The sequence below is a fragment of the Homo sapiens genome, chromosome 16 (assembly GCF_000001405.40).
Source record: "Homo sapiens chromosome 16, GRCh38.p14 Primary Assembly".
NCBI classification, from domain to species: Eukaryota; Metazoa; Chordata; class Mammalia; order Primates; family Hominidae; genus Homo; species Homo sapiens.
The window spans coordinates 86,223,665-86,243,726 of NC_000016.10; the positions used below are offsets into that span (position 1 = coordinate 86,223,665).

The 20,062-nt window shown below is 46.9% G+C and overlaps 1 long non-coding RNA gene across 1 annotated transcript in view, besides 1 other annotated feature; it reads right to left on the reverse strand.

The window, feature by feature from the left end:
* Positions 1-1,915: 1,915 nt before the first annotated feature.
* LINC01081 (long intergenic non-protein coding RNA 1081) overlaps positions 1,916-20,062 on the reverse strand; it is a 60,668-nt gene continuing 42,521 nt past the window's right edge. The window contains exons 4-6 of the long non-coding RNA NR_104139.1: positions 2,976-3,113; positions 2,183-2,298; positions 1,916-2,003 (exon numbers count right to left, since the gene is read on the reverse strand). This is a non-coding gene — a long non-coding RNA (long intergenic non-protein coding RNA 1081). The remainder of the gene's footprint in view (positions 2,004-2,182; positions 2,299-2,975; positions 3,114-20,062) is intronic.
* Positions 9,961-10,460: an enhancer, noted in NCBI's record as "NANOG-H3K4me1 hESC enhancer chr16:86267231-86267730 (GRCh37/hg19 assembly coordinates)". NCBI's record gives its function as "activates a minimal SCP1, AML or CMV promoter by ChIP-STARR-seq in naive H9 embryonic stem cells {active_cell/tissue: H9 hESC(naive)}" and the evidence as "EXISTENCE:reporter gene assay evidence [ECO:0000049][PMID:30033119]".

Sequence of the window (20,062 nt, forward strand, 5' to 3'; positions counted from 1 at the left end):
TCTGTCTGGAACACAACTGTGTTCAAGCCTCCCTGGCTCCATCTTTGCAGAGGTTCATGTGTGTGAGACTGGGCTGGAGTTGGGAAAGCAGAGAAAGGATTTTTTTTTCTTTCCTTTTAGGGATTTTGACAGAGAATTCGTTTTCTGACAAGCTTTGGGAGTTTAGTTACAATTTCTGGGAGCTTGGGATCATCGAGGTCAGGGCTTCTCCACCTGGGCACTGCTGATGGAGAATCTGGGCTGTCCTGTGCGCTGCAGGATGTTGGGCAGCATCCCTGGCCTCCACTCACCAGGTGCCAGTAGCACCCCCCTCATGGTGATGACACCACTGAATGTCCCTGGGGGCAAAATCACCCTTTAGTGAGAACCACAGCTCTTGATGAATCTGTGTGTTTCGCAGATGAGGAAACTGAGTTTCAGAGAGGGTAAGCTCGAGTGAGACCCAGGAGCAAAGTACAGGGGAGGAGGTGGCACGGAGCAGTGGCAAATCAGGGTGTCAGGACCAAAGCCCAGACCCTCCACTCCATTCCTGGGCAATCAGGTTGCAATTCTCAGTCTCCCTAAGGAGCCTGTCCTTTTGGACCCAACCAGGAGAGTCACAGGCCCTGCCCTGGGGGAAGGAAAAGGATGCAATGACTTTCTGCATGTGGGACACCTTCAGGACACCCTGCACACTGCACATTGTGGGCACACAACAAATGTGACCCATTTCTCTGAACAGAAAGCCATGGGGCGGGGATGTTGAAGGCACTGATTTCAGAGTCCAACGTCTGTGTTCAAGGCCTTTCTCGGGTCTAGCCCGGAAAGATTAACAGGAGTGTTCTACAACTCAGTTCCTCATCTCCAAAATGGGGGTGTCTGTCACAGCAGTACCCCTCTCACGGTTCTCCTTCGGGAGACTCAAACAAAATAATGCACTTAAAACTCTCAGCTCAGTGCTCTACACATGGTCAGGGTCAAATGTATTTAGCTCTTATGACTGTTATTGTTGCTGTTACCATTGGTGTTGCTGTTGTTGGTGATGGTGATGGTGTTGGTGTGTTAGTGTTGTTGGTACTGTTGGTGTGTTGGTAGTGATGGTGATGGTGTTGGTGTTGCTGTTGTTTTTGGTAGTGACGGTGTTGCTGTTGGTGATGATAGTGTTGTTGTGCTGGTGTTGGTGCTGGTGATGTTATTGGTAGTGATGGTGTTGTTGGTGTTGAGGGTGATGGTGTTATTGGTGTTGGTGATGGTGTTGTATTGGTGTTGATGATGGCAATGTTGGTGATGATGATGTTGATATTAATGATGTTGATATTATTGTAGTTAGTAGTGATAAAGTTGTTGGTGTTGGTGGTGATGGTGTTGTTATTGGTGTTGTTGATGATGATGATGTTGGTGGTGGTGGTAATGGTGGTAAGGATAAAGGGCAGGGGAGGGGAATGCAGACCTGATGCTAGGGCCAATCGCATTTGAAGGTGGCTCAGCCTCTGGTCTGACCAAGGGTCACTCCCTTTCATCCTCTCTGACCTTTAGAGCTTACAGCACCCCACCTCATTCCCACTACCTGCCTCTCTCTTTCTCCTTAAAGCCTTCCCTGGACCTTCCAGCCCTCACCTTCCTTCAGCCTCTGAATCCCTGAGTGGTAAGAACTCCTCACACAATTGCACATCACCTCTTTTTCCTCTTACTCCACTCTTGTCAGCAGTGGGACCTCAGAGTGCCAGCCAGAGCAGACACAGGGGCTTTGGGGCAGCTGATGGAGTGGCCTTAACTCAGTCTCTTAACTTTTTTGATCTCGATTTCCTCCCCTGTGCAGAAAGGTGATAAGGAGACTTTCTCCATGGGGCTGAGAGCCAAGAATCCCTACTTGGAGCAAAGTCTGTCATCTTAGTTGTTTGTAACTCCAACTCCCAGGACCCAGCACCATATGGAGCACATGGTAAGGGCCCAATAAATGTTGGACATAAGGAATATAAGAGAATGAAAGGCTGGGTCTGTATTTCTGGGTGGTCTCTTCATTTCTTTCCAGAGAGAGAGAAAAAGAGAGAGAGATTGTTGTGTGGATTTTATGTGAACACAGCAAAGATTACTTTCTGTGAGGAGGTGAGGGTCATCCACCCACCCACCACCACCCATTCACCCATTTATTCATCCACCCTTCCACCCATTTGTCCATCCATCCATCCATTCATCCACCCACCTGTTCGTTGAAATCATATTCCCATCAGGTGCCAGGCACTGGCTAGTCTGGCTTTGAGGATTCAGCAGTATTTCAGCACCTGCTATCTCAGAACCAAGGTTGGCCCAGAGGAGACCCTGTGGAATGTTTGTTGAATGAATGAGTAATTTTTCTTCTGAAACCAAAATGGAATGCTTTTATATTTTGAATGAGTAATTCTTTGAGTAAATGAATGGATTGGTGAAACAATAAGTGGTGTTGGGATAGACTAGTTCCAGGAATCCAACTCCATTATCATCTCAGGCCTCTGATATCTTGGCTCTTTGGCTCTGTCTGTGATTGCTTGGCAGCTTCAGCACTTGTCAGTCTCTCCCAGGAGGAGGGCAAGCCCTGGGGCTGGCGGGTTGAGAGGTGTCTTCCCAGGGCACATGGTGCTGCTCAGTGACTGGGGACTGTGCTCTTTCTACACCTTGTGGGCCCTTCTCCAAAGGACCCACCCCCCAAGGGGACCCTTGTCCATGAGTTGCTTCCTCTTCTCCAGCCGAACCAGTTGGTTTCTAGCCCACCTCCGGCCATCAGTGCAGAGCAGGGCTTTAGGGAGTTGGGGCACCCACCCTCAGTATTCCACTCTCTTCTGCATGAGGTAAATCTCCAGTCATCAGAAGAAACAATAAGATGAAAAGCTGACCACATTGTAATGCTCATTAGCACAAAAACCCACAGCTGCACTTGATATTGGGGGTGGTAGGGGGGAAGGCCAGGAGGGGAGGCAAGGGGGTCCTGTGGATTGCCCACCTGTAGCCTGTGAACTCACCAAGTGCATTGAAAGGGGAGCCTCGTTTGTTAAGTAGATGATGATCAATGCCACATCTGATGCCCGATTGGAATGGGACAGGCCTGGAAAGGGCCTGATTGGGATGAGCAGTGTCTAGGGTTCCGTCTCCACCTGCACCTGCAATGGGGTAGGGATGGAAAGGGGTGGGCACACTCTAGGCATGTTTGGCTCTATCTGTAGTGGGTGACCCAGCCTTCCCATCATGCCACCCTTTCTCACCACTCCTGTAGGAGCCCAGACTCCCTGCTTTCGAATCTCAGCTCCTTTACTGCTTAGCTGCAGGCAGGTGAGGCCCAGATCCCAGGAGAGGGATTAGACCCAAGCTGTTTGCTGTGTCCACCTGATAATTATGGTAACATATTTTGAGCGCTCACCTTGGTCCAATGCCAGGTGAAGCACTTTGAATGGTTGACTTCCCAAAACCTCGCGGGGTGGGCGTCATCGCCATTGTCATTTTGTACCTTGAGCTCCCAAGGCTCAGCAAGATCCAAGCAACTTGACCTCTCACACGGCAGGGCCAGGACTCCACCCTGGTCTGACCCTGAGCATCTCTGAGCACTTGGAAGGGGTCCACAGCACCCGGGAGTGGCCGGTGCTGTGGAGCTGAAGTTGATGAGCTTGTGAAATGCTGAAGCCTCCCTGGGCCTGGGGTGGGTGGCCCAGCCACCTATCCTGCAGATGGAGAGCTGGGTCGTGCCTGTGGGCAGGGGGACCTCAGCCAGATGACCTATGTGCTATGTCCTAGTAGGCTGCTGCTGCTGCTGCCTGGATAACTATTTTCCAGCGACCAACCCAGAGGCTGACTGAGAAAATATTCCTCCAACAGGCAAGAGGAGGGCAAGGAAGGTGGTTCATGGGATCCTGAAATCCGGTTCTGCTGTCTTAAGGGAATTCTCCACTGTGTCCCAGGCATTCTGAATTGGGATCCCCACTTGGGTGTGCCTTAGCCATTGGCCTTTTGAGAGCACACCCCAGCATCTGTGTCGCAGAGTCTAGACCTTCCCTGGCAGGCAGGAAGCCCATCCTGACTCTGTGGGAGGAAGCCTGGTTCCCCGTGTCGGAGGATGGAGTGAGGTGGAAGGACTTCAGTCCAATATACTATTCTCTCTTTTCTTCTGCTTTTGTTTTTTCTCTTCATTTCCCCAATATCAACCCCAGAATGGAAGATCACTTCAAATCCCATTTTGTTGCATGGACTTTTTTTCTTGTTGTTTCTTAGCAGAGACCAATTTTGGATGAATAACTTGTGACCGCAGAAACATGACACCAAAGCAACAGCGCTGGGTGGCAAATTTCTCCGTTACCACAAATATCCTTTCTCCTCGAGGACCAGACTGGAAGCATTTGGGGTTGTTTGTGCGTCCCGTCCTCAATCAGCCAGAGGAGGGGCCTTGGGAGCGGCAGCATGCCCGTCCCGCCCCCGCGCCCTCCTCCTGCCACCAGATGTGTGTTTTTCTCTTTGCAGGACTTTTGCTGAATCTCGACAGGTTCTTTGGTCCTGGGGTGTGAGGTTCTTCCCCTTCTGTGGCCCAGGGGGTGCTGAGTGCAAAGCTCGTGCCTGTAACGTGTGCTGATGCCCTGACTGGCACTGACTGTGGCTTATGAGGAGGGAAGGATGAGTTACACATCCCCTGGGTCTGTTCTTTAGCCCTGTTTCCTTGGCATTCAGAGACTTGGATGCTGGCCCTGTCAAGATTTGGATCTACTTGGGAAGAAAAAGGGATCCTGGTGTCAGCGGCCACATCATACACTGCAGAGATGCCGTGTCCTGCCGTTGTGTGCTGGTGATGAAGCTTTCATGATTAGTGAGTAGTGCTTTTCCTCCTCCAGGGAGGATGCACCCACACACAAAGGAATAAGGAAACTTGGTTTGGGTGAGACTTGAATACTGCCCTTAGCCTCTGATACCTTTTTATCTTCCCAACATTGTATTATAAAATATTTCAAACATACAGAAAAATTACACAAATAGTACACATGTATCCACACCAAGATTCTGCAACTGTCACGATCCTGTGATTCTTGTATAATCCCTCCCTCCCTCCCTCCCTACCTACCTTCCTTCCTTCCTTCCTTCCCTCCTTCCCTCCCTCTCTCCCTCCCTCCCTCCCTCCCATATTAGTTCATTCTCACATTGTTATAAAGAGGCTGAGGAGGCCTCAGGAAACTGACAATCATAGCGGAAGGGGAAGCAAGCATGTCTTACATGCTGGCAGGTGAGAGAGAGAAAGTGAAGGAGGAACTGTCAAACACTTATAAAACCATCAGTCCTCGTGAGAACTCACTATCATGAGAACAGCATGGGGGAAACTGCTGCCATGATCCAATCACCTCCCACCAGGTCCTTCCCTCAACACGTAGAGATGAAGGGGATTACAATTTGAGATGAGATTTGGGTGGGGACACAGAGCCAAACCATATCACTTCCTCTCGCTATCCATCTTTCCTGCCATCTTATTCTTTTTAACTGATTTTACTTTTTTAAGAACACACTAAATTGAGAAAATAGTACAGAGAGTCCCCATATACCTCACACCCACTCTGGTTATTGCTAACTTCTTACATTAGTCTAGTACATTTAAGAAACCAATTATATTGATTACAGTTAATGAACCCATATTAATATGTTATTATTTCATTATTAATTAAAGTCCATACTTTATTCAGATTTCCTTTGTTTTTACATAATGTCCTCTTTCTGCCCCAGGATCCTGTCCAGGAGCCCACATGGCATTAACCATCAGGTTTCCTTCAGCTCCTTTGTGCTGGGAGCCTGTTGGCCTCCCCTTGTTTCTGACGACCTTGACAGTGTGAAGGAGGCCACTCAGGTGTTTTCAGAATGTTCCTCAGCTGGGATTGGGCTGCTGTGTGCTCATGGTTAGACAGGGCTCCGTGTTATTTTCTGATGAATTTCCTAGTCACCCTATGCACCCTTTTTGTCCAGTAGAAAATGGAGAAAATGAGACCATACCCACACCACAGAGGGGTTGTGACACAATGGGGAGGGGCATGGGTTCTGGGTCACCTGCCTGGACTTGAATCCCAGCTCCAGCATTCACTAGTGGTGACTGTGGTCAACACACTTGGTTTCCTTATGCCTCAGTTTCCTCCTCTGCAAAATGGGCATAAAACTGTTTTATTAGAAGGTGCTGTGGGGATTAATGCAACTCTGTGGATAGTGAGCCCTCAGCAAAGACTGCCTGTTGCTCTTGATGTTAGGAATGCCAAGCACAGACAATCTTCACCATGAAGGCTTGGGAGGGCTTTTGTGCCCTTTGACGGTGGGAAGCTTGGAGTAGATGTGGCTTTTTCTTGGAAACAGCACACCCCCAGATGGTGGGGCTCAAAGCACAGGTGTTAGCGGAGTGACAGTGACACCCCGTGATGATGGCATGGGGCCTGGCTCTGACACGTGGAGCAGTGCCCTCAAACGTGGGCCTGTGGATGGGCAGCCTCCCCGGGCTTCCTTCTCCCTCCTTCTCAGCCACATGTCTCCTGCTGGGAGCTTCCTCATCCCAGGCCACTGCCCCGTCAGGCAAACAGTTTTTCTAATAACGAAGAGAGCAGCATATTTAATCTGGGGACCTATTTCATTATTGCTGCAAACATTTCTGTTTTATTGGCATGCCAGGAGATAAGCTAGGACCGTGGAAGAGCCACGGCTGCCACCGGGAACCGCTTCCTTCCCAGCCCCCCGGAGACTCTGGGCATGTGCCATGGCGCCGCCCAACGGCATGAAGGAGACTCTGGCCAAGGCCCCAAGCAGTCTTCTGGATGACAGTTGATTACTAATAAAACCAGAGTCATGCAGCCCAAGACCACGAAGGGCTATCCAGTGGTTTCTGGGCCGGAGCGGATGTCCTTCTGGAAACTTCTTTGCACACAAAAGGCCCAAGACGCCATCACTGGACACATGTGACATCTCATTTGCAAGCTAACTTTGGTTTCCAGAGAGTCCAAGTGCCAAAACCACGTCTCTCTGAGGAAATTTGACGTTGACACGAAGGACACACGCAGCCTCGTGTTACTCAATTCTAATTTCGGGGTGGGTTTTTTCATTCATAATAGATCCTGGAACGTCAGGGCTGGAAGGAGGCTTGGAGGCCACCTCAGAACAGTTGCTGACATTTCCAGCATGCTTACTGTGTGACAGGCTCTGTGCCAAGTGCTGGCCATGCCTGATCTCTACAAAGCTCCCCTCCACTCCCTGGACCTTATTTTCCCCATTCTACAGATGAGGAATCTGAGGCCTGAACATCAACCTGCTTGCCCAAGAAAGACCCCATGATTAGAAAGTGTTGAGCCAGGACTCAGCCCCAGGGCTGTCAGGCTGTAGAACCTGCTTCTTAAGGTGCACACCCCACACCCACCCCCTCCAGAGCTCCATCACCTGGGATCTGATTGGGCATCCCTGGGTGTGAACTTTAGGGAGGCCTGTGAGCCCCCACCTGGAATTTGCACACAAAATGTCATGCATGTGTACATTTTTCTGGGTGGGAATGCAGAGTGTTTCAAAGGAGTTCACATCCTCACAAAAGGGGTACCTTCTGTGGCCCTCATTTTGTGGAGGAGGAAGGGCAGAGGCCGATGCATTGCTATGGTTACCCAGCAGGCTAGATGGAGATTTGACCTTGTACCCCCAGATCCAGTCCACCCCTTTCGCTACTCTTGTCCAGTGCATGAATATATTTTCAGATCATTTTCACTAAATCTTTTTATTCTGTGTAAAGCACAGACAGAAAACTGCTCAGATCCAAAGTGTGCAGCTCAATGCATGACTACAAAGTGAAGACTCCTGGGTAACTCTCCACCCACAACCAGAGGGAAAATGGTACCAGCACCCTAGAAACCCTCTGCCTGTCACAATCCCAATTCCCCAAGAGCAATTGCTTTCCTGGCTTCTGAGAGCCTGGTTGGCACGTGATGTGCTGGGATCAGGCAGGGCATCTCTCCCATGTCCGCAGCATGGGAGAGCTGTGGTATTTTTGGCATTGGTTCATCTTCACTGCTTTATAGTATCCTGCTGCGTCAACAAACTGATCCTCATATGTCTATCCTCTTGCTGGGGCAGCGGGGAGGCCCAGCTGGGGGCTGTGTGACAAAAGCATGCTTGCACATGCCTGGTGCACATGTGCTGGCCTTCCTGTTGTGTGTGTCACTGGGAGCGGAATTGCCGGGTCATCCAGCAGGCATGATGTCCGGCATGAGAAGATGCCGCCAAATCTTTTTCCAGAAGGGAAATTCACACTCCCACAAGCAGCTGCTCACATCCTTGCCAGCGTTTAATTTTAGCTGTGCTGGTGGGCGAAGGCATTATGCATATTTTTAAAAAATCAAACAACCTTCCAGCTCTTGCGTTTTCTCCTACCTTGAAGGCATTTTTCTCAGTCACTCTCATCCTGCAGCCCCATGACACACACACGCAGGCAGGGGTTGCTGGTGAAGGGCTCTGGTGAAGGGCTGACCCAGGAACCATGGTCCTCATGGGAGCGTCAGAGGAGGAGGGGCTGGGTGAACCCAGAAGGAGTCCAGGAATCTTCCCCCGTCCCACTCCCTTCTTCTGAGGCTATGCCGGGTAGACCCTGACGGGTGATCCTGTGCCGATTTTGATCCCATAAACTTTTGTGTGGGAGGCCGTTGGTTTAACTGAGCCTGCCAGGCCTCCTTGGCAATTTGATTTCGTTGAGGCCCTGGGTGGTGGTCCCTAACGGTTCTAAGGCAACTTATGGGGTTTAGCTTTTACCCCATGTACTTCCCGGCTGTAATAACTGGGTTATCAGGGTTGAGTGAATCCCATGTTGCTGGGCACGGGCTGCCCTCGCCCAGAGCTCCCAGGAGCCAGTGGAAGCGTAATGGAGACCGTGGTGGTCCATACCTGTCCCCGCTTGGGAATTTCATCGGAACTCGACCTTACAAATGATCCCTGCCAGCCTTGTGTCCATTAAGAACAGAAAATGGCTCACACAGGAGGAGCAGCCCTCTCCTTGGGTGGCCTGGTGTGAAGATTCCCCCCCAGGCCACCCACATCTGGGGGGAGGTGGGGCAAGAGGGAAGCAGCAGGCCCAGCCGCCTGAAGATTGGGTACCTGGCCACAGCTGCTCTGAGACAGCGGGAGGGCCCCAGTCCGTGAGCTCCAGCCCCTCACCGCTCCCTCTTGGCTCCCAGGCATTGGGACTGTCTCTTCCCCAACCCCAACCAGATGATAGAAAAAATATTCCTGGTTCAAACCAGAGGGTCTCTGTCATGCCCAACCCCTAAACAAGACCCTTATTCTGCACTTTAGGACCTAATACAGTTACTGTCCCTCTCTGTTGCGCCTACCTGGAGCTTAACTCCAAGAATACACTGCTCTTCCCTATTCAGAGACGTATGTGGACTCAAAACTGTATGTGGACCCGAGGAGCTGTCTAAGAAGTGGAACTCACAGAAGCAGAGAGTAGAATGGCAGTTGCCGGAGGCTGGGGATGGGGAATGGGAGGATGTTACAGTTTCAGTTATGCAAGAGGAATAATTTCTGGAGATCTAATGTCCAGCAATGTGACTCTAGGTAACAATTGTATTGTATTCTTGAAATTTGCTAAGAGGACAGATCTCAAGTGTTTTCACCACAAAGAAAAGAAAAGAAAACAAAACAAGGAAGGAGCCAAGATGGCCGAATAGGAACAGCTCCGGTCTACAGCTCCCAGCCTGAGCGACGCAGAAGACGGGTGATTTCTGCATTTCCATCTGAGGTACCGGGTTCATCTCACTAGGGAGTGCCAGACAGTGGGCGCAGGTCAGTGGGTGCGCGCACCATGCACGAGCCGAAGCATGGAGAGGCATTGCCTCGCTTGGGAAGCGCAAGGGGTCAGGGAGTTCCCTTTCTTAATCAAAGAAAGGGGAGACGGACGGCACCTGGAAAATCGGGTCACTCCCACCCGAATACTGCGCTTTTCCGACGGGCTTAAAAAACGGTGCACCACTAGATTATATCCCGAACCTGGCTCGGAGGGTCCTACCCCACGGAGTCTCGCTGATTGCTAGCACAGCAGTCTGAGATCAAACTGCAAGGCAGCAGCCAGGCTGGGGGAGGGGCGCCCCCCATTGCCCAGGCTTGCTTAGGTAAACAAAGCAGCCGGGAAGCTCGAACTGGGTGGAGCCCACCACAGCTCAAGGAGGCCTGCCTGCCTCTGTAGGCTCCACCTCTGGGGGCAGGGCACAGACAAACAAAAAGACAGCAGTAACCTCTGCAGACTTAAATGTCCCTGTCTGACAGCTTTGAACAGAGCAGTGGTTCTCCCAGTACACAGCTGGAGATCTGAGAACTGGCAGACTGCCTCCTCAAGTGGGTCCCTGACCCCTGACCCCCGAGCAGCCTAACTGGGAGGCACCCTCCAGCAGGGGCACACTGACACCTCACACGGCAGGGTACTCCAACAGACCTGCAGCTGAGGGTCCTGTCTGTTAGAAGGAAAACTAACAAACAGAAAGGACATCCACACCAAAAACCCATCTGTACATCACCATCATCAAAGACCAAAAGTAGATAAAACCACAAAGATGGGGAAAAAACAGAACAGAAAAACTGCAAACTCTAAAAATCAGAGCACCTCTCCTCCTCCAAAGGAAGGCAGCTCCTCACCAGCAATGGAACAAAGCTGGATGGGGAATGACTTTGACGAGCTGAGAGAAGAAGGCTTCAGACGATCAAATTACTCTGAGCTACGGGAGGACATTCAAACCAAAGGCAAAGAAGTTGAAAACTTTGAAAAAAATTTAGAAGAATGTATAACTAGAATAACCAATACAGAGAAGTGCTTAAAGGAGCTGATGGAGCTGAAAACCAAGGCTCCAGAACTACGTGAAGAATGCAGAAGCCTCAGGAGCCGATGCGATCAACTGGAAGAAAGGGTATCAGCAATGGAAGATGAAATGAATGAAATGAAGCGAGAAGGGAAGTCTAGAGAAAAAACAATCAAAAGAAATGAGCAAAGCCTCCAAGAAATATGGGACTATGTGAAAAGACCAAATCTACGTCTGATTGCTGTACCTGAAAGTGATGGGGAGAATGGAACCAAGTTGGAAAACACTCTGCAGGATATTATCCAGGAGAACTTCCCCAATCTAGCAAGGCAGGCCAACGTTCAGATTCAGGAAATACAGAGAACGCCACAAAGATACTCCTCGAGAAGAGCAACTCCAAGACACGTAATTGTCAGATTCAGCAAAGTTGAAATGAAGGAAAAAATGTTAAGGGCAGCCAGAGAGAAAGGTCGGGTTACCCTCAAAGGGAAGCCCATCAGACTAACAGCGGATCTCTCGGCAGAAACCCTACAAGCCAGAAGAGAGTGGGGGCCAATATTCAACATTCTTAAAGAAAAGAATTTTCAACCCAGAATTTCATATCCAGCCAAACTAAGCTTCATAAGTGAAGGAGAAATAAAATACTTTACAGACAAGCAAATGCTGAGAGATTTTGTCACCACCAGGCCTGCCCTAAAAGAGCTCCTGAAGAAAGCGCTAAACATGGAAAGGAACAACCAGTACCAGCCGCTGCAAAATCATGCCAAAATGTAAAGACCATCGAGACTAGGAAGAAACTGCAACTAACGAGCAAAATCACCAGCTAACATCATAATGACAGGATCAAATTCACACATAACACTATTAACTTTAAATGTAAATGGACTAAATGCTCCAATTAAAAGACACAGACTGGCAAATTGGATAAAGAGTCAAGACCCATCAGTGTGCTGTATTCAAGAAACCCATCTCACGTGCAGAGACACACATAGGCTCAAAATAAAAGGATGGAGGAAGATCTACCAAGTAAATGGAAAACAAAAAAAGGGGTTGCAATCCTAGTCTCTGATAAAACAGACTTTAAACCAACAAAGATCAAAAGAGACAAAGAAGGCCATTACATAATGGTAAAGGGATCAATTCAACAAGAAGAGCTAACTATCCTAAATATATATGCACCCAACACAGGAGCACCCAGATTCCTAAAGCAAGTCCTGAGTGACCTACAAAGAGACTTAGACTCCCACACAGTAATAATGGGAGACTTTAACACCCCACTGTCAACATTAGACAGATCAATGAGACAGAAAGTCAACAAGGATACCCAGGAATTGAACTCAGCTCTGCACCAAGCGGACCTAATAGACATCTACAGAACTCTCCACCCCAAATCAACAGAATATACATTTTTTTCAGCACCACACCACACCTATTCCAAAATTGACCACATACTTGGAAGTAAAGCTCTCCTCAGCAAATGTAAAAAACAGAAATTATAACAAACTATCTCTCAGACCACAGTGCAATCAAACTAGAACTCAGGATTAAGAATCTCACTCAAAACCACTCAACTACATGGAAACTCAACAACCTGCTCCTGAATGACTACTGGGTACATAACGAAATGAAGGCAGAAATAAAGATGTTCTTTGAAACCAACGAGAACAAAGACACAACATACCAGAATCTCTGGGACACATTCAAAGCAGTGTGTAGAGGGAAATTTATAGCACTAAATGCCCACAAGAGAAAGCAGGAAAGATCCAAAATTGACACCCTAACATCACAATTAAAAGAACTAGAAAAGCAAGAGCAAACACATTCAAAAGCTAGCAGAAGGCAAGAAATAACTAAAATCAGAGCAGAACTGAAGGAAATAGAGACACAAAAAACCCTTCAAAAAATTAATGAATCCAGGAGCTGGTTTTTTGAAAGGATCAACAAAATTGATAGACCGCTAGCAAGACTAATAAAGAAAAAAAGAGAGAAGAATCTAATAAAGGCAATAAAAAATGATAAAGGGGATATCACCACCGATCCCACAGAAATACAAACTACCATCAGGGAATACTACAAACACCTCTACGCAAATAAACTAGAAAATCTAGAAGAAACGGATAAATTCCTTGACACATACACTCTCCCAAGACTAAACCAGGAAGAAGTTGAATCTCTGAATAGACCAATAACAGGATCTCAAATTGTGGCAATAATCAATAGCTTACCAACCAAAAAGAGTCCACGACCAGATGGATTCACAGCCGAATTCTACCAGAGGTACAAGGAGGAACTGGTACCATTCCTTCTGAAACTATTCCAATCAATAGAAAAAGAGGGAATCCTCCCTAACTCATGTTATGAGGCCAGCATCATTCTGATACCAAAGCCGGGCAGAGACACAACCAAAAAAAGAGAATTTTAGACCAATATCCTTGATGAACATTGATACAAAAATCCTCAATAAAATCCTGGCAAAACGAATCCGGCAGCACATCAAAAAGCTTATCCACCATGATCAAGTGGGCTTCATCCCTGGGATGCAAGGCTGGTTCAATATACGCAAATCAATAAATGTAATCCAGCATATAAACAGAGCCAAAGACAAAAACCACATGATTATCTCAATAGATGCAGAAAAGGCCTTTGACAAAATTCAACAACCCTTCATGCTAAAAACTCTCAATAAATCAGGTATTGATGGGACATATTTCAAAATAATAAGAGCTATCTATGACAAACCCACAGCCAATATCATACTGAATGGGCAAAACCTGGAAGCATTCCCTTTGAAAACTGGCACAAGACAGGGATGCCCTCTCTCACCACTCCTATTCAACATAGTGTTGGAAGTTCTGGCCAGGGCAATTAGGCAGGAGAAGGAAATAAAGGGTATTCAATTAGGAAAAGAGGAAGTCAAATTGTCCCTGTTTGCAGATGACATGATTGTATATCTAGAAAACCCCACTGTCTCAGCCCAAAATCTCCTTAAGCTGATAAGCAACTTCAGCAAAGTCTCAGGATACAAAATCAATGTGCAAAAATCACAAGCACTCTTATACACCAACAACAGACAAACAGAGAGCCAAATCATGAGTGAACTCCCATTCACAATTGCTTCAAAGAGAATAAAATACCTAGGAATCCAACTTACAAGGGATGTGAAGGACCTCTTCAAGAAGAACTACAAACCACTGCTCAAGGAAATAAAAGAGGATACAGACAAATGGAAGAACATTCCATGCTCACGGGTAGGAAGAATCAATATCGTGAAAATGGCCATACTGCCCAAGGTAATTTACAGATTCAATGCCATCCCCATCAAGCTACCAATGCCTTTCTTCACAGAACTGGAAAAAACTACTTTAAAGTTCATATGGAACCAAAAAAGAGCCCGCATCGCCAAGTCAATCCTAAGCCAAAAGAACAAAGCTGGAGGCATCACACTACCTGACTTCAAACTATACTACAAGGCTACAGTAACCAAAACAGCATGGTACTGGTACCAAAACAGAGATAATGGAACAGAACAGAGCCCTCAGAAATAACGCCACATATCTACAACTATCTGATCTTTGACAAACCTGAGAAAAACAAGAAATGGGGAAAGGATTCCCTATTTAATAAATGGTGCTGGGAAAACTGGCTAGCCATATGTAGAAAGCTGAAACTGGATCCCTTCCTTCCACCTTATACAAAAATCAATTCAAGATGGATTAAAGACTTAAATGTTAGACCTAAAACCATAAAAACCCTAGAAGAAAACCTAGGCATTACCATTCAGGACATAGGCATGGGCAAGGACTTCATGTCTAAAACACCAAAAGCAATGGCAACAAAAGCCAGAATTGACAAATGGGATCTAATTAAACTAAAGAGCTTCTGCACAGCAAAAGAAACTACCATCAGAGTGAACAGGCAACCTACAAAATGGGAGAAAATTTTCGCAACTTACTCATCTGACAAAGGGCTAATATCCAGAATCTACAATGAACTCCAACAAATTTACAAGAAAAAAGCAAACAACCCCATCAAAAATTGGGCAAAGGACATGAACAGACACTTCTCAAAAGAAGACATTTATGCAGCCAAAAAACACATGAAAAAATGCTCACCATCACTGGCCATCAGAGAAATGCAAATCAAAACCACAATGAGATACCATCTCACACCAGTTAGAATGGCAATCATTAAAAAGTCAGGAAACAACAGGTGCTGGAGAGGATGTGGAGAAATAGGAACACTTTTACACTGTTGGTGGGACTGTAAACTAGTTCAACCATTGTGGAAGTCAGTGTGGCGATTCCTCAGGGATCTAGAACTAGAAATACCATTTGACCCAGCCATCCCATTACTGGGTATATACCCAAAGGACTATAAATCATGCTGCTATAAAGACACATGCACACGTATGTTTATTGCGGCACTATTTACAATAGCAAAGACTTGGAACCAACCCAAGTGTCCAACAATGATAGACTGGATTAAGAAAATGTGGCACATATACACCATGGAATACTATGCAGCCATAAAAAATGATGAGTTCATGTCCTTTGTAGGGACATGGATGAAATTGGAAATCATCATTCTCAGTAAACTATCACAAGAACAAAAAACCAAACACCGCATATTCTCACTCATAGGTGGGAAGTGAACAATGAGATCACATGGACACAGGAAGGGGAACATCACACTCTGGGGACTGTTGTGGGGTGGGGGGAGGGGGGAGGGATAGCATTGGGAGATATACCTAATGCTAGATGACAAGTTAGTGGGTGCAGCACACCAGCATGGCACATGTATACATATGTAACTAACCTGCACAATGTGCACATGTACCCTAAAACTTAAAGTATAAAAAAAAAAAAGAACAAACAAAAATAAATAATAATAAAAAAATAAAAACTAAAAGTATTTCTTGACAAAATGCAGACAGATTTCGGATTGCATCTATGACACCTGAAGTCTAGATTTAAGGCATAAAAAATAAGCCACCTGCGAGATACATTTTCTGCCTTAGGTGGATTTTAAAAATTCTGACATTGAAACAACCAGAGTCCACTGAATTTCCCCCTTGCCATTGAAAGTGCTGGCCTCACCGGACGTGGAGGGAAGCAGCGTTTCCCCTGTGAAAGCAGCCGAGTCACTGGGCAGAGACGAATCCAGCTCTCTCTTCCCTTCTCTCAGGAAGGTGCTGGAAGGAGATTTTCCTTTCCAGCAGTTAAGTGGATGCGGCTTGGGATGGTCAATCCGTCCCCAGGCCTGGGGACAGCTGTCCTCACCGGAAGACAGCCTGCTGTAATTTATCCTGGGGGTTGTTTGAAATGTTTGCTGCTGTTGGGGAGTGAACGTGTTCTTTGTGATCAATTAATGCCCCTCTCACGTTTTGTCAACGCGAAGGGAGCTGCATATTTTGTAGTTTTTATTTAATGAACCAATTACTTCATTGCCAAAATAAAGGATGTTTTATTCCTAAGACCCTGAATGAGGATCTATAAACCCTATTAAAATTAGTTATTAGATTTTAGCTATTATAAAAATTCTTTTAATTTAGTTTGGTTTATATTGTGTCTAAGTTTGAGCTCCTATGGAAACTACTGTAACACAGTTTGTGTTCTGTCTGAATTCACAGTAAACCTAGCAATGCATATTACTGTCAGTGTGATCTACTGCAAAAACTGGGTACCTAAGATGACTTCGTACATTTTATACACATAAATATGTAAATATTTCTTGAGTGACATTTGCATGAAAATAATTGAAATAATTGAAGGCAAAGTTCATGCAGAAGGAATATTTAAGAGAGGTTTGAAAGAAACAAGATGGGCTTTTCTACATGACTCCTAGGTACCTTCAGAATTTGCAACAAAGTAGGCAAAGAGAGTAAATTATTTTGTGCAATATTAGAATGCTTGCTTGTAATACACACACACACGCACACACCCCCAAATGTCTGCTGGAGAGAAATTGATGATTGCATATTATTCATGTCAAAAAGACATCTTTGATTTCTTTCTAAATCTTTTAAGAGAAATTGAACTGAGGCAAAAATATTTGTTTTAAAATTTACATTCTTTATGAAAGAAACAAGGCATGCCTTTATAAGACATATGTGCCATTCTGTAGAAATACAAATATTTGCTTCTTACCTTGGCAAGCACAGTTTAATTGTGTCTAAGTATGAGAACTATGAATTCTTTGGAAACTTTGTGGCAATGACTTTTATTTTCCCCTGAAGCTTTTTTTAAAAAAATCTCATTTAGCTATTTCATCTGTGTGTGTGTGACACACAGAAAGAGAGACAGAGATTTAAAAATTTGTAACTAAGGATTGAAAAAAAGTACCAGATGAATTGTCCCGAATCTTTGTAGCCTCTATGTCCTTGAAAATGCCCCAGAGAATGTTTTCTTCCCTTTTATAGGATGCAGGCTTCTCTTTAGCTTCTCCACCAATCCTGAAATTCCTTTGTTTAAAACAAAACGAAACAAAACAAAACTTGTGGCTTTTCTCAAAATGACAAACTAAACATGCAGAATCTAAAAATCCCCAAACACATCCCAGACTATAAACCTTTCTGACTCAACAAGCAGATTTTATGGAGACCCCAGTAAAACCCCAAGGATGGCAATAAATAAATCGCCAGCCGGTTCTCCCATACAGCTGCCTCTTCCACAAGACCTCAAGCCTCTGAAGGCAGAGGGAAGACCCCATGCGTCTTGGTTTTGGGGACCCACAGATGGGCCATCCAAATGGCCGAGCTGCCTAGATTTCTCCCAAATAGTCGCGATGGAAGGTAGCTGAGAGGCGGGGGGGAATATTCATCACAAAGCATTTTCCCAAACTTCCACCTCAAACAAGGATGCAAATATTTGGAATAAACAAGGACAGAACTAATACAATGAAGCAACAAGTAAAAGTGGCAACGACACTGGTCACATGGAAAGGATGTGAAAAGAGTTAAGAAGCAGAAGGAGATAATTATTTTCCAGAGCTGCATGACCCATTGATATGCACCTCATACTTTTAATAGGAAATTCCGTCTCATTCCCGTTGCTGTGCCTCAGGGGAGATACTAGGTAGAATAGCAAACCCCTGGGATCTTACCCAACTCTGTCATTTCCACTGACTGTGGCATGGACAAGTCATTTTAAATTCTGCATCAAAATATGAGGATAATTTCCCCCGTCTAGCCCACTCCCTGGAACTCATTGTGACAATGAGAAGAGAAAAAAATAGGAAACAGAAAAGATATTTATGATATTTAAGGAGTTGTATGATCTCTCTGAATGTAAAAGGAGAACTGATATTGTCCTCATCACAGGTCACCGGCGGCACAGCCCTATTTTTCTTGTGGAGTGACTGGGAACCGCTGTGCTCCGGGAGCCAGGGTGAGGCACAGAATTGTATTTCTGCAGCCAGATCCCCTCCCAGTTGCGGGGCTGTTTTCTTCCCTCTGACAGGAAGGAGCTTCCTTCTGGAAGTGTCCTGACATTGTTCTTGGTATTCCAGAAATTCCCTGGCTGATGGCATGTCCAGAAGGGAGCGGTCCCAGGGCACGGGAGTGCATTGGGCAAATCTGTATTTAACCTCTTTTATCACACACACACACTCACACACACTTGTGCACACTCACCCATACTTTCACACAAGTTCATGCTCTTGCACGCACACTCAGACACCCTCACGTGCTCCCACACTCACCCCTGCTCACCCCTACACTTACATAGACACACTCAAACACCCTCACAGGCTCTCACACTCACCCATGCTCTGACACACACACACCTCATGCTCACTCACCGATGTTCTGACATCCACACACACACTCACACTCACACTCAGACACCCTCAGACGGTCTCACACTCACCCATGCTCACACAGACACACACAAACATCCTCACAGGCTCTCACACCCATGCTCTGACACACACACACATTCAGAAACCCCCCCATGCTCAGACTCACTCACACTCTGACACACACTCCCACACACTCTCACATGCTCTCACACTCACCCACACTCTGACACACTCACACATTCAGACACCCTCACACGCTCTCACACTCACCCATGCTCTCACACACTTTCCTGTACCTTGCACTGTCAGCAAACCACCCTTGGCGCTCCCATGTGATGAGGGGGTGAGTCCGACCACCCTTGCCCCCAACCCCTGAACAGAAGGAGGTCTGCTGTTGCTGAGCCTTAGCTGCCTACACACGTGTGTGCAGGAGAGAGACGTGCTGGCAGGAGACCAGTAGGGTGCCTGGCCGCACCAGCGTGGAGGTGGCCTCCAGGCACACTCTCCCCTCTTCGTCGTGGGAACTGCTTCCATCTCGGCCCAAGCAATAGACCTGACACGGGTTTCAAATGCTGCTTCACTTCTCCAGTGCTTTCCTGGATGATGCCTCTCTTTACAACCCCAGTCTCCAGGCCCCTGCGGCCCAGAGCCCCATCACATCCCACAAGCCTGCCTGGCACAGTGTTGGGGATATGCCATCCTCACCGAGCACCTACCACATGGGCAGCGGGAGTCCCTTGGGATAATCACATGGGGAAGAGAAGTCCTTCCAATCCATGTGCGGTTTCAATCCCAATGACAGTGTGGAACTCAGCAGCTCACTGTCCTTCCAACCACCCTTCACTGAGCCCTTTGTGGGACCCATCCTGAGAACAAGTGTTGGGAATCCATTCAGGAATCCCTGGATTTGGCATCCACACGTCCCCCCTTGTCTGCTCTCCCCGCCCAGGATCATTTGCCTGGGCCTCAGACCCCTCATCCACAAAATGAGCTTGAAAGTCACATGCCAGGGGCAGGACTTTCCCTCCCAGTGCTTGCCTTACGGTGAGGCCTGATATTTGTGCAATTGTTCGGCCCATGCCCCTCTCTCTCTCTAATTTCCAAGCTCAGCTCCTCAAGGGGAGGAGTGGGCCACTGATTCTCATGCAGGCACCGAGGGCACTGCCTTGGCAGGTGGACTGTGGGCACCTGCGTGCATCTGAATAGGGCAGGCTGTGGGGGTTAAGATGTAAAATGCACAAATATCAGTGTTTGTATTATTATTATTATTCTATTGTTATTACTAGATGTAGCCTCTGCTTCTAGGGGCGCAAACTTATCCCCAGGCCCAGTGAGGAGCGCAGAGAACACACTGAAGCACGGGCAAGGCCCTGACAGCTGCATCTCTCGTGTAAAGTTCCTCACAGTGAGTTTTGTGCTCAGCTTTTGTGAGGCACATGCAGACCATCCCCTGCTGAACAGTGAGCTGAGTCAGCGGCTTCCCCACT